The 12980-nt window shown below is 60.8% G+C and overlaps 1 protein-coding gene across 6 annotated transcripts in view, besides 1 other annotated feature; it reads right to left on the reverse strand.

The window, feature by feature from the left end:
* Positions 1-349: 349 nt before the first annotated feature.
* Positions 350-12980, reverse strand: part of CASZ1 (castor zinc finger 1) — a 160043-nt gene continuing 147412 nt past the window's right edge. For 3 of the 6 annotated variants that reach the window (XM_017001540.3, XM_047423404.1, XM_017001539.3), the window contains 8 exons: positions 12816-12938; positions 11547-11885; positions 9874-10072; positions 8663-8834; positions 6906-7057; positions 6605-6746; positions 5769-6068; positions 350-3805 (listed from right to left, as the gene is read on the reverse strand). In XM_017001540.3, coding sequence (XP_016857029.1) covers positions 2688-3805; positions 5769-6068; positions 6605-6746; positions 6906-7057; positions 8663-8834; positions 9874-10072; positions 11547-11885; positions 12816-12938 — 2545 coding nt within the window. In that variant the 3' untranslated portion in view covers positions 350-2687. Of the gene's footprint in view, positions 3806-5768; positions 6069-6604; positions 6747-6905; positions 7058-8662; positions 8835-9873; positions 10073-10956; positions 11886-12815; positions 12939-12980 lie in introns of those variants that run through there. The other 3 variants (NM_001079843.3, XM_005263479.4, NM_017766.5) reach the window with 2 other exon arrangements.
* Positions 10048-10553: an enhancer, noted in NCBI's record as "H3K27ac-H3K4me1 hESC enhancer chr1:10706359-10706864 (GRCh37/hg19 assembly coordinates)". NCBI's record gives its function as "activates a minimal SCP1, AML or CMV promoter by ChIP-STARR-seq in naive H9 embryonic stem cells {active_cell/tissue: H9 hESC(naive)}" and the evidence as "EXISTENCE:reporter gene assay evidence [ECO:0000049][PMID:30033119]".

Consider the following 12980-nt stretch of genomic DNA (forward strand, 5'->3'; position numbering starts at 1 on the left):
GCCCAGCAGCCCAGGAGAGGAGAGGGTTGGCTGGGGTGGGGGTCCTGGGAGGCTGCAGGGCCTTTGTCCGACGACCCAGGCCTTGGTGTCAAATGGCTCTGCCCAAAGATGGCTCCTGAGCCCCAAGTGGGGGCTTCAAGCAGGGCTGGGGAGGAGGCTACCCTTCTGGCCAGGCCAGGAATGAGCCCCCTACCTCTGTCCCCAGCAGCCCGGGGACAAAACTGGTCTGTTCCCCGCTTTTCCTGCCAGGGTCGAAGGGTGCCCAACTCCTCCCGTCACCCCACCGGTGTAGCTGGGTCATGGCCAGCCGATTGGGGGCGATTTTAAGAATAAAAGATAACTTGATAGATTTTTTTCCAGTTTTTATTGAGTGAAAATGTCAAACCTTGCATCAGTCATGCAAAAAAAAAAAAAAAAATCAAATAAATAAAACACATATATTAAATTTCTAATAGCACTAAATTCAAGTGGAAAAATATTCAGTTCTTAATAACCAGGTGCCGAGGAGACCAGATTCAAGTAATCAGAGCACACGCTGTTCAGCTCGGGTTTCACGTTCTGTATTTTTTTTGTCTCAAAACCTCTCTATATATCTCTATATATCTATATATGTATATACATATAGATATATACACACACATATGTGCATACATATTATTTGATATTTATATATATACACATACATAGTTATAAAACATTAAAAAGAGCATTGGTGGATCAAGCATTGTTTCCCCACAGAAAGAAAATAAAACAAAAATTACACGTTAAAATTCAAAATGAGCTAGCAATGGCTTATAGTCCTAGTGTGCAATATGAAGTTTACAAAAGGCTAGACTCCGCACTGTCGGCATCTTCTTCTTTTCTTCTTTTTTTTTTTTAAGTTTGATTTTGCTACATTGAAAAAATGTTTGTGTGTGTGTGTTTTTTTTTCCTTTACAAAACTCCTTCCACAGACGCCCGGGGCCTGTGGCGGGTCACTGTCTGGGCAGATGCTCACAGCAGCACGTGGTGCCCACAGAGTTCAGGAGGCTCTGGTAGGGGCTGTTTTAGAAAATAACTGATTTCCTGTTGAATCAGGTACGCTCCGTGCGACCACTCCTCCCTCCCTGCTCCCTGTCCAGTTCGGGTGGTCCTGGCTTTCTGGCTGTGGGCAGCTGAGAGGACAAAAGAAAGGAAGAAAAAAGGGAAAAGTAAACCACTGCCCCCCAGTTGAGCCAGGTTCCTCCTGGAGACCTCTGGGGAGGAGGCTTCTGGATGACAGCCTCCCCGCCAGCCTTCCATTCCCTCCTAGGCCTGTTCTCTCCCGGTGGCCCAATCTGACACCAGCTGGTGGCCTGGAGTAGGGAAGGTGGGCAGGTGTGGCCTCGGGCAGCCTGCCCTCGCAGGGGACTCGGTCCCCGGGGACCTCAGAGCCACTGGCCAGGTGTGTGCCTGCCAGGTCAGGCCCTGGCCCGGGCTTCGATGGCATCATCATCTCCAGGAAGGGGGATGTTTTGCAAAGGGAACCCAATCTGGGTAGACTGCACCAGCGAAGAAGCATCCCAAACAAAGTAATAAAACAAACTGGAAAAAAAAAAAAGCCCTATAAAGCCACACGCATCACCAAGAGAGAACTCAAATGTTAAATTAACTACAAACTTGGATCAACAGTAATAGTCCTTTTTTCTTGTCTCTACAAAATTCAAGTTAAGAGTTGGAATCACGCAGCTCCCATCAGTGCTATTGTGAAGACAGACAGCCTCAAACAGTTAAGGCCTCTACAAAAACCCTGGACCAAATCCCACAGGATAAACGGGACTGAGCCTCCAACCTCAGGCCGGGCCCAGGCGGGTCTGCACTCTCACCACGCCTGCTTTCTTCCTTTTTGTTCTATGTAGAATAATAACCTTTACAGGAAAAATACTGTACAACTTTCTTGTATTTTTTTCCATTTTGAACATTAAAGCCAAAACCAGGCGCATCCTTCCTGTTTGCACCACCAGGGTGGCCGAGACCCCGCCCCGGCCCCCAGCGGGCTACTCTGGGTTTTGGACGCAGCCTCGGTTTCCCTGGGGCGGAGGCTGGGGCCAGGGAGTCGCCAAACAGACCCGACCCAGGCCTGGGGGAGCAGCCGGGCCCTGGGGTGGGGCTGAGCTGGAGCTCCGCGGCTGCTACTCCCGTGAGGCTTCCTCCACGGTCCCTGTAGTGTCACCCGTGCTGACTGCCTTCTGCCCGTCTCCCCCTGGGCAGGGGGGAGGATCCTAGCTGCATGAGGGAGGCCCCGCCAGCGGCTCCAGGAGCCACCCCGCCCTGGTGGCGCGCGGTGGGGGTCCCGGTGGCCCCCAGCGCCCGTCCCAGTCCTGAGCAATGGTCGCGGGGCCGAATCGGCCGCGGGGAGGGGCGCCGGGGCAGCGGCCGGGAGCTGCGCCGCATTCGCCCGGGACCCCTGCTCCTAGGTTCCCTACCCCGGGACAAGAGCACCTTCTGTTTCCCTGAAGAGACCCGGCCTCCCTAGAGCAGGGCCACCGCCGCCGCCTGTGTCCTCGGCCGCGGAGCACCAGAGGGGTCCCCGCCTCTGTCCTGAGACGGACTCGGGGTCCGGAAGCACCGGCGGGGCGCGGGGCTCTGCCCAGGGGCCGCTTCGCGCGGGGCGGCGCCGCTCCCGAGGCCGAGGCCGAGGCCGCCGCCAGGGCCACCCGCGGGCGCCGCTAGGGCGAGGAGGCTGCAGTGGGCGCGGGGCCGGGGGCGCCCAGGGCCGCCAGCGCCGCCAAGGCCGGGGTCCGCGCGCCCGCGCCCGCCGCCTCCGCCGCCGCCTCGGGCAGCGACTCCTCCGAGTCGGTGCGCAGGTCCTCGTCGTCGTCGTCCTCGTCGTCGTCCTCGTCGTCGTCGTCCTCGTCGTCGTCCTCGTCCTCGTCGTCTTCGGCCTCCTCCTCCGGCAGCTCCAGCTCCTCCTCCTCGTCCTCCTGCGAGGACTCCCCAGCTGCGGCGGCGGCGGCGGCGGCGCCCTCGCGCGGCCCGGGGGCGGCGGCGTCGGGCGGGCCGGGGTCGCCCGCGTCGCCCAGCGCCAGGCCCAGGCCGGCGGCCGCCGACTGCAGGAAGAGCAGCGAGCCCGGCTCGGCGCCCAGCGACAGGGAGCCGTCCAGACTGATGGGAGGCCCGGGCGCGGGGCCCTCTGCCGCGGGCTCGCCGCGCTCCTGCTTCTCGTGCTTGCGCTTGTGCGAGTCCATCTGCGACATGCCCACCACCGTGTGGCGGCAGCCCGGGAAGGTGCAGTGGAAGTGCGAGCACTTGAGCTTGTACTTGCAGTCGGGCACGGCGCAGTCGGCGCTGGAGCTGAACTGGCAGAAGCCCGCGGCGCTGATCACGTCCTGTTTGCCGTGGTGCTTGCGATGCGCCGTGACCTTGGTGCTGTCGGTGCAGCGGAAGCGGCAGCGCAGGCAGTGGAAGTGCGTGCTGGTGCCCGAGAAGGGGCAGTCGGCGAAGTGGCAGCTGAGTGAGGCCTTGAAGCGCTTGAAGTCGTCCAGCACCAGGTTGTCCACGCGGTCGTGGTGCTGCGCGTGCTTGTACATGTGCGTGCGCCCGCAGAACTTGTAGCCGCAGTTCTCGCGCGTGCAGTGGTAGTGGGTGACCTTGAGCGAGAACTGACAAGCTGCGTCCTTGCAGTCCTCGTAAAGGTCGAAGCGCCGGAAGCCCTCCAGCATCATGCCCTCGTCCAGCATCTTCCGGGAGGACGCCGTCTTCCGCCGCTTGCCGAAGGGCGACATGTCCTCGATGATCCAGAAGCGCTTTTTGGCCCCCGAGGCTGTCGGCATAGAGATGGTGTTCCCTGGGGAGGGGCAGGGAGGTCAGTGCAGAAGAGGGACCCACGTGGGCACCATCAACAGGGTTACACCCACATGGGACCCCTGATCTGGCATGGCGCCAGAGGGCGGCATTTAGGGAGCCCTCGGCTTCCCCTGGCTTGGGAGGCCTCTCCTGCCCCGCCCCCTCCCTACCCTGGCACAGCAGGGGTCCTGGGCTTCCCCTCCTCATCCCTGTCTGCAGAAGGGCCACACAGGCCTCTCCCCCGGGGGGTGGCAGCCCAACCAGCTCTGGGGGACGTGGTGGCTGCTTCCTGGCCAGTTTGGGTGGGAAGTGAGGACACGTCCTGGCGCTAATTGAAGCTGAAGGGGGAATCTAGGTCGGCAGAGTGCAATTAGCCAAGTTGGACTCGGGCCAAGACGCCAGCTATAGCTGCCTCTAATGAGGGACAGGCCGGCTCCTTTCCCGCCGGCTACCCGGCTTCCCTGGCTGCGCCTGTCTGCACAGGGGGAGCTGCCTACTCACAGTAGGGGTGCCAAGTGCCCCAGGGCTGTGCGGGGCTGCAACTCCCTGCCCTAAGGAGCACCTTGTCCTTGGTACCAGAAGGTTCTTTAAGGTCTTGTTGGGGTTTTCTACCCCAAGGGCTGGGAGAGGGCAGCCCTGATGGAGGACCAGGACTCAGGGAGCTCAATGCCTCTGCCCTCTGCTCAGAGTCGTAATTTACCTGGGTCAGGACCAGGGCAGGGGCTCAGCCATGGGGAGCGGAGCCCATTTATGTCCAGCTGGCCCAGACTGCTTCCTGGGATTTAGGATGCCCCCCTGCCAAGGCCAGGGTTGTAACCCTTTCTGGGAGGTACCTGTGCCCCTATGGCCATGGGTGAGGGGAAGCCCCAGCTCCTGCCAGAGGCACAGGCAGCTAGTCCTGGCTCCCCACGCCACCCTCCACAAACAAGAGAAGCTCTCTGACCAGCCCCACCAGAGCGTGGGTAGCCTCTGGGCTCCTCCCACACGGCTGACCTGCCTGGCTCCCCCAGAGCCTGCTTAGAAGGCCCAGCAGTCACTCTAGCCACCAAATGTCTGCCCTGCCCATTTCAGGCCAGGCCCCATAGGCCACCCGGAGTGGACAAAAACGGAGAGAGACTAAGGGCTGTGACGGTGTAGGGGCACCCAGGCAGGGGGCAAGGGATGGCCTCAGGCCCAAAACCTGGTGGGTGAGGAGCGGCTTTGGGTCTGAAGTCACAGGGTCTGGTTATGCCAGAGTGGAGCTTCCAACAGCCGGAAGTCCCTGAGGAGGGGGAGGCTCGGCCCTGCCCTGGCCATAACTCCTGGGGCCTGTACTCAGGCAGCACGTGAGGCAAGAATTAGCAGAGGAGTCCGAGCCCGGGTGGTGTCTACGCTCAAGGGAGGGGGCGGGCAGATGCCATCCCGGTGGGTATCAGATATGGGGGTGGGATGGGAGGTGCCTCTGCCCCTGAGCACTGCCGGGGCCTGAGTCCACAGAGACTTCCCTTACTGCTCAGCTTTGGGCGTGGCCCGGGGCTCAGGCTGGAATCTGGACCCTCTGAACCTGGGCAGGTCCCAGACCCCAGCAGACCTTCCCGAAAGCCTCCTCTATCTCTCCCTAGTGCCAGATCCCAGGGGGACTCCTCAGAGTAGAAGGGACAGGTCCTGCCTTGCCCCAGGCCGAGGAAGGCAGACCCTACAGGGCCTCCGGCAGGATCAGCCATCTCTGGGACTCTGAGCAGTTGTGAACAAGGGAGAATCCCTGGCAGCAGTGCTCTGGCCTGCCCAGCACTGAGCAGGAGCCACGAGGAGTTGTCCCTGGGATGGAGACCACGCTCTCTAGTCTCGGGGATGCTTGGCTGTGAGGGGTGCAGAGTGGCCCCGTCCTTGGCCTGGCTGGCTGCAGAAAAGGGTCAGGCCCCGGAGCGTGGCCTGGAGGGTGGGTTGGGGTGATGGACAGCGGTGAGAAGGCATGTGCGCGTTACCTGCAGCATCCTGAACTAGGGGGACGTCACTTTTTACTGGAGTTGGAGTGGCAGTGACGGGCGGGAAGCTGGGCGGGCTGCAGGTGGGATGGGCCAGGCCCCGGCCGGCTCCGAGAGTGGCACTGAGCAGAGAGTATGAGAGACAGGACGGAGAGAAGAGGCAGGGGAGGGGGGGGAGGGGCGGCCGGAGCGTGGCCGGCGAGAAGGATGGAGTCGCTGGCGGCTGCGGGGCCGTGCGGGCAGCCTCATCACCAGCGGCCGCAGGAGGAGGAAGAGGAGGAGGAGGAGGAGCCGGGCAGCCTGGAGAGGGTGGAGAAAAGCAGAAAAAAAAAAAAAAAAAGAAACCAAAACAAAGAACAAACAAACAGAAAGAACCAAAATGAGAAACCCGATGGCAGAAGCAGGTATGGCATGAAAATGTGTGCACGGATGAGCAGAGAGAGGGACACAAGAAGAAGGGGCAGGAGGAGAGAGAGGCGGGGCAGTGCCAGGGGTCACGTGGGCAGGTGTGCCGGGCAGGACCGGCGCTGGGCCCAGGCCGGGTGGGAGGCAGCGGAGGAAGGAGGCTGGGGCTGCGCTGCTCCCGCTGTGGCTCAGAGAGGACGGGCCCAGGGTCCTCTCCCGGAAACTGACGCAAAGGGCAGTGCCAGGGAGGCGGGAGGATGGCGGGAGGGGCCTCGATGACCCAGTCCCACAGACCAGCTGGCTCTGCTGCACGCCAGCCTGTCCTCCTCGGAGGCCGCGTGCCCCGGACCTTCTGTCCCAAGCTGCACCCAGCGGTGCTGGGCTTTGGGAGTGGGGCCTGGCCCTGCCAGCAGCCCCTGCCTGCCGCTCACCTGCCGCGGTGCTCTCGTTACCCACGGGGGTGCTGGAGCAGCTCCGGTCCATGGTGGATGACTCAGAGGACATGGCGCCTGGGCTGCAGCCAGTGTAGTCCATGCACTCATCTGTCTCAGCATCCATCAGGCCTGGGGGGCCCTGAAAGGACACGGGGGTCCCTGAGGAAGTGGGGCTGTGGGGTATGCTGCCCACAGAGGGCAGGCTGAGGCTCCATGCAGCACAGGCCTGAGAGTGAGCGTGGGACCATGATGCGTTCCCGCCACCCTGGCTGGGCTCTCACCTGGGGGGGGCTCTCACCTGGGAGGGGGGCACGCGGTCGAAGTTCTTCCCCAGCATCCTCCGCATGTGCTTCCGCGCGTGGGAGGTCATCTGGTGCTTGAGGAGGAAGGAGAACTGGCAGCCCTCCCGGATGCAGTGGAAGTGGCTGTTCACCTGGTTGTACTTGCAACCTGTGGACACAGCCCCACCTGGCATGAGCCCCCAGCTGGCCAGCGCTCATGGCTTCCAGGTCCTGTTGGGCACTGTTCTGGGCATGGGGGCAGTGTGGTCAGTAAGGCAGATGGTATCTGGGGAAAGGGCGCTGAGCCGAGGTGGCAGTCTTAGGAGGAAGGTCAGGAAGTCCAAAGCCCCCTGGCTGTCCAAACCCTGGGCCTCCTCTCCAGCCTGGCAGAGGCGAGTGACAATGCTGGGCAGGCCCCCATCCCCTGGCTCACACACAGGGAGGTGCACAGTTCCAAGGCAAGGGACCCTCATGGTCCCTGCACACTGGGCCAGCTACCTCCCAGGAAGCCACCTGTCCCCACATCTCTGCTGGGGAGCCCGGGGTGCTGTCTGCCCCTCTGCCCAGGCCCCAGCACCCACGGGGCCTCGCTCTGGGCCGAGAACAAACAGAGCAGGCGGGACTGAAACAGCATCATGGGGCAGGTGAGGGCCTGTCCGCTGCCATGGCGCCCAGGCCGGCCAGGTGTCTTCTGTCATCCCCCAGCTTTGTTTGGCCCCAACTATCGCCAAAAACACCACAAGTTGAGTAAATAATAGCAACTGCAGAATACCCTGACATCTGTAAACTGAGCCCAGGGACAGCACAGGCCGCAAGTGTTGACGCTTATTGGCATGGCTACCAGTCCTCTCCCTGGCCGAGAACTCCTTTTTGAATTCATACTTGAAGGCAAGGTTTGTTTCCTTTTTCTGGCAGTTGACTTTGAGGATGTCACCTTTCACTTTTGGAAGGACCAGAATGCAGCAGCCCCCACCCCTGCTGCCCTGACCACCAGGCCACAACGGGCCTTGCCTGCAGCCCAGGGGCCTCTGCTGGGCGGCCTGGCTCCCGCCTGCCCGTGGGTTCTGGTCTCTTCCTAGGGAGAGTCCTGCCTCATCAGCAGGCTGTGAACAGGGGCCAGGGGCTCAGCTCCCAGCAGCACGGCTACCTCTCAGGCATCAGTGGCCTCCCTTCCCAAAGCCACAGCACCCCTTCCTGGGTTCCGGGTCACGGGTGCTCCAGCTGAGCCCATGGAGAACTTGACCGTTCCCCATTAGATCTGAGTCGCCACCACTGTCACCACCCCCACCCCTGTGACAGCACCCAGCCTGGCACACAGCTGTCCCTCCATAAATAACTGCAGAATGGATGAATGGAAGAACAAACTGTAGCTCACTGCGGACAAAAACCTCATCATGAAAGCCATGGAAAGAGATCCCAGAGCAAAGAACGTTGAACTCCTAAAAATTCCCTGCTCGCCTTCTTGATAAGAAAAGGAAAACAGAACCACGCCCAGGCCCTGGATGCTCAAGATGAGGTCCCAGGGCGGCTGTCTGGGGGTGGAGGGGCGGTGCCCTGCGTGAGTCACCCCCACTCTTCTTGCTGGGCTTTGTGGGTTTGGACTGTTTCACAAGCTTGACAGTGCCTAGCCCGTGATATCTGGGACACCTTTAACAAAACGTGGAGCCTGCGGTGGGGAACAGGACGCGGGTACCAGGAGAGGCGGCCCAGGCCACGGGGGCCATGGTCTTGATGCCTGCTGCAAGTCCCTGCCCGCAGCCCCAGCCCTCGGTACCTAGCCTGCCACACTCCTCGCGCTTGGTGAAGTATTTGAAGCCATTGGCTGCCCGCCGCTCCGCCTTCTCATGCTTCTTGATGTGCCAGGGGAGCTTGGTGGTGATGTTGGTCACAAAATAGCAGCCGGTGCGGAGGCAGTGGTAGTGCCCACGCATTCGGAACTCGCAGTGCTGCAGGGAGACACGGGAGGGTCAGGACAGGCGGGTGACTTTCAAGAGCTCCTGCCTGCCCCGGGCCTGAGGCTGTGGTGGGCCCTTGGCACATGTGTTCTTCTCTGCTCAGAAGCTGATGATCATAGAAACACCTTTCACATGTTAAAAAGCAGCGCAGGGCCGGGCGCGGTGGCTCACGCCTATAATCCCAGCGCTTTGGGAGGCCGAGGTGGGCGGATCACGAGATCAGGAGATCAAGACCATCCTGGCTAAAGAGGTGAAACCCCGTCTCTACTAAAAATACAAAAAATTAGCCGGGCGTGGTGGCGGGCGCCTGTAGTCCCAGCTACTCGGGAGGTTGAGGCAGGAGAATGGCGTGAACCCGGGAGGCAGAGCTTGCAGTGAGCCGAGATCGTGCCACTGCACTCCAGCCTGGGTGACAGAGCGAGACTGTCTCAAAAAAAAGGCAGTGTCTGCCCTTAGTCACTGCACTAAAGCATCCTAGCCTGGTAACCTTGCAGGCCATCTGCAATCCCATACCTAGAGCAGACATCGCGAATCTATTTTAACACTCTTCCCTGTATGTCTAGACCTGGGCAGACATCACTGCTCTATACTAGCACTTCTGGGCCCAGTTTCCCCCTCAGGCAGCCCCTCCTGGTCTTGGGAGTCAGGCCTTTAAGGTGAATCTGATCTGACTTTCCTGTGTGGGCACGGACAATGGGCCTGTTCGAAAATTCTAGGGCTTTGGAAAAAGGGGGCATAAAGCTAGTTCCAGGATAGGCAAGAATGATGTCAAGGGCACGGTGGCTGCCCAGCATTGAGTCACCACTCGGGGGTTAGACCTCACCAACTAGCACCAATCTGGACCCCTGCCCAGGGGTCTCCAGGGGCCTAGGGGCAGATGGTGCTCTTTCCAGAGTCCGGGAGGCCCATTTAAATAAGCAAGGTGTGAGAAATGGAGCCTCTGCCAGGAGGTGACTGTCCTGTGCCCTGAGCTAGCCCTGCACCTCCCTGCCCCCTACTCTGCCCCTGCGCCGTGTACCGCCATGCTGACCTGGTTGGGACAGAGACACTGCAGAGAGTAGTATGCAAACTGGTCTCGCACGTTCACCAGGTTGTTGTTGGGGTTGATGTGGTCCAGGCAGTGGGATTCGGCCTTGCCAGACGTTTTGCAGACGTACTTGCAGTTCCCAAAGAGACAGTGGAAGTGGAACTTGTTGGCGTACTTGCAGTCCGTGGCGAGGCAAGGATCGCTGGAAGGAAACCACAGCCCAGAAGGTCATTGCCATTCTCAAGCCCTCCCTGCTGGTGTCCTGACTTCACTTGTGTTGGAGTTCACTCCCCCACGACCAGCGGTACCACCAAGAGGGATGGCCTGGGCTGCTGTCCTGCTCAACAGGATGACTCAGCTGGAGACTACAGATCCCAGCATGCATTCCTGCCTCCTTTTAGGAGCTCTGCATGGTGCACAGGGATTGCAATATGCAGGGTGCCCAGAGCATTGCATGCTGGGACAAGTAGTTTCCATGGCCACACCTCAGGATTATAGATAAGGATGGCTGTAATAACTTCTTGGATCGGAAAATAAGGATGGTGCTGCCAGCCCTGGCGGGGTGCCGTGAGGCCCTGGCTGGCGTGGCATGGGCGCCACCGTGGATGTGGCTGACAGACTGCAGATGGGTGCTCGGCCCCACCAGGAAGCGCTGCTGCCACAGGCCCTTAGCAAGCAGGAGCGCGTGCCTGGTGTCAGCTCCTGGGGGCTCACAGCTGCTGGGCTCCCCAGGATCAACTCGGGGCCCATGGTGCCCACCCACTCAGACCTCACTTGCCGGCGGAGTGGGAGAGCTGCTGGGGCAGAGCGGGTGTGCTGGCCTGCCCTAGGCCGCCTCCAGGATGCAGAGGGGTGCAGGAGGACACTGGTCCCAGCCTTCAACTCTGGTTGGCAACACTGTAGTCCCCTCCCAGGGGACCCACGGTGGGCACTCTGACCAGGCCAGGGAAACCTGAGCTGCTACTCTGGGGAGGAGGAGGGGGAGGGGAGGCTGGTGGGGGGGACGGAGAACAGTGCTGGGCCCCTTCCATGCTGTGGGCCCAGCCCCAGTTGCTCAGAGAGGGAGGACAGCTGCCACTCAGGCGATATAAATAATCCAATTTATTACTTTTATTGAGAACAGGAAGCCGCACACATGACAATACAAAGTCACCGTTCTCCCTGCAAGGAGCCACCACCATCCAGTGAGGAGGGTCCCTTCCACCCAAGAGCTCAGACCACTGTGCAGGCCAGTGACGGCCTGGAGGGGCCTGGCCCCTACCCGTGACTTCACGTGCCCTGCAGAGATTCAGCCATGGGTGTGAGCCACAGAGGAGGCCAATACGGAGGCTCGGAGGGAGACGCAGCCCTCCTTGTCAGGCTGGGAGTTGTCCTCTGAGGACCACCACGCCCAGTCCACCCCACCTGGCCCTGGCAGGATCACCACATGCCCTGCAGGAGCAGTAGCCACTGCCGCCACCATCGGCCCACGCGGGCTGGCCTGCTCTGGGACAGGCAGTGAGGTAGGAGCAGCAGCATCTTTGGCTAGAAGGACATCACCCGATGGCCATGCCCCAGAGAGGCTGGGGACAGCAGCACCATCCGCAGTGAGGAACAGGGCCTCCTAGCGCCCTTGCTAGCACCTACTCCCGAGACGCGAGGGGAACGCGGGACTCCCGGCTCATCGAGGGACTCACTTCTCCTGGAACTGGAGGAATCCGGGTTTGACCTGGGGCTTGGCGTTCTCTAGAGAAGTCGTTGCCAAGGGCGAGGCGGGCAGGTGAGGCACTGACGCTGGGATCTGAGGCATCTGGGGTATGGTGGAAGCCAGCTGCTTCCAGGCGAGCAGGGTGGGGGTGGAGGGCACGGAGGCCGGGCTGGGAGCGGGCCCCTCCAGAGAGGACACCGTGGCCGTGGTGACAGGAGGGACCGGAGGGGACGAGGGGGCCATGGGAGGTTTGGTCTCGGCGGCCGAGGCCGGAAAGGCAGCCTCTGTGTTTCCTTTTGCTGCTCCTCCCTCTGTCCGGAAGTGGAAGCTGCGAGAGGTAGAAGAGGGGGTCTCATGGGGGGCAGTGAAGACAGGTGTGGAGGGGCATGCATGTGACCCCATCACAGGCCTAGACCCCGGTGTCCGTCCCTACTCGTCCCCATCACTCAGCTCCAGAAGTCCCCTGTGACCCCACCAGGACAGAAGGACTGGAGGGCAAACTGCAGCGTCCCCTGGTTCCGAACTTGGTCTCCTGGCTTGGGCCTAACCATGCCTTCCTACTTGTGCCCTTCCTCGGTCCCCAGCTCCTCCATATGTGTGACAGCAGGCCCTGCCCCAGGAAGCCTCTTCCTTCCAGAACCTGCTCGGAGGTCTTAAAGGTAGGATTCTCAGTATTCACAGCAGGCTTCCCCGCGGGCTACGGCCGAGGGTGCCTACGCGGTCGGAAAAGCCTTGGGAGCACTGCAGGTCTGTTTTAAACGATTTCAAGTTCTGAGTTCCCTTATAAGTGGGCGGCTAGGCTCGAAGCCTTTTAACTCAATGGGATTTACAAATTCATTTCATTATGTTTAGGTCAAAGGTAACCTAGAGATGTAATATTGTGGCTTGGAAAGGCCTTCAGCTAGGGTTCCTGCTCCAGGTCACAGCCGAGTCTCTCCAGCTGGGCTCTGTGCCCCTCTGGCCTGCTCTGCAGGGAGCACGTGCTGGGACTGATGGCTGCCCTGGGGACGTGGGTGCAGCAGCAGCTGTTGCTCAGGGTCCCAGGAAGGGCCTGGACAGGGGCTCAGAGCCCCCGGCTGAGGGCTGCATGTGTGAAGGAGGATGGGAAGCCCACCCTTGCTGGGGCAGCATCTCCGAGAAGCCGGCTCAGCTTCTGTGGCCCAGCGGGAACTGCTGTACCAGCCTGAGCCCCACCCACCCCAGAGCCAGGCTGGGATCCGTGGGGCTCTGTGGAAATGGCCCCCAGCACCCTACTCACTTTGCGTGCTTGATGGCCCCGTCCAAGGTGCTGAAGAGCGCGCCGCATTCCTCCACCACGCAGTGGAAGTGGGCCTTGTGGAGGAAGTCACACTGGCCGTCACAGAAGTCCTTTGTACCAAACCTAGCCAGAGGAGCTGGCGTTAGAGGAGAGCCTGGGGCTCCA

The sequence above is a fragment of the Homo sapiens genome, chromosome 1 (assembly GCF_000001405.40).
Source record: "Homo sapiens chromosome 1, GRCh38.p14 Primary Assembly".
NCBI classification, from domain to species: Eukaryota; Metazoa; Chordata; class Mammalia; order Primates; family Hominidae; genus Homo; species Homo sapiens.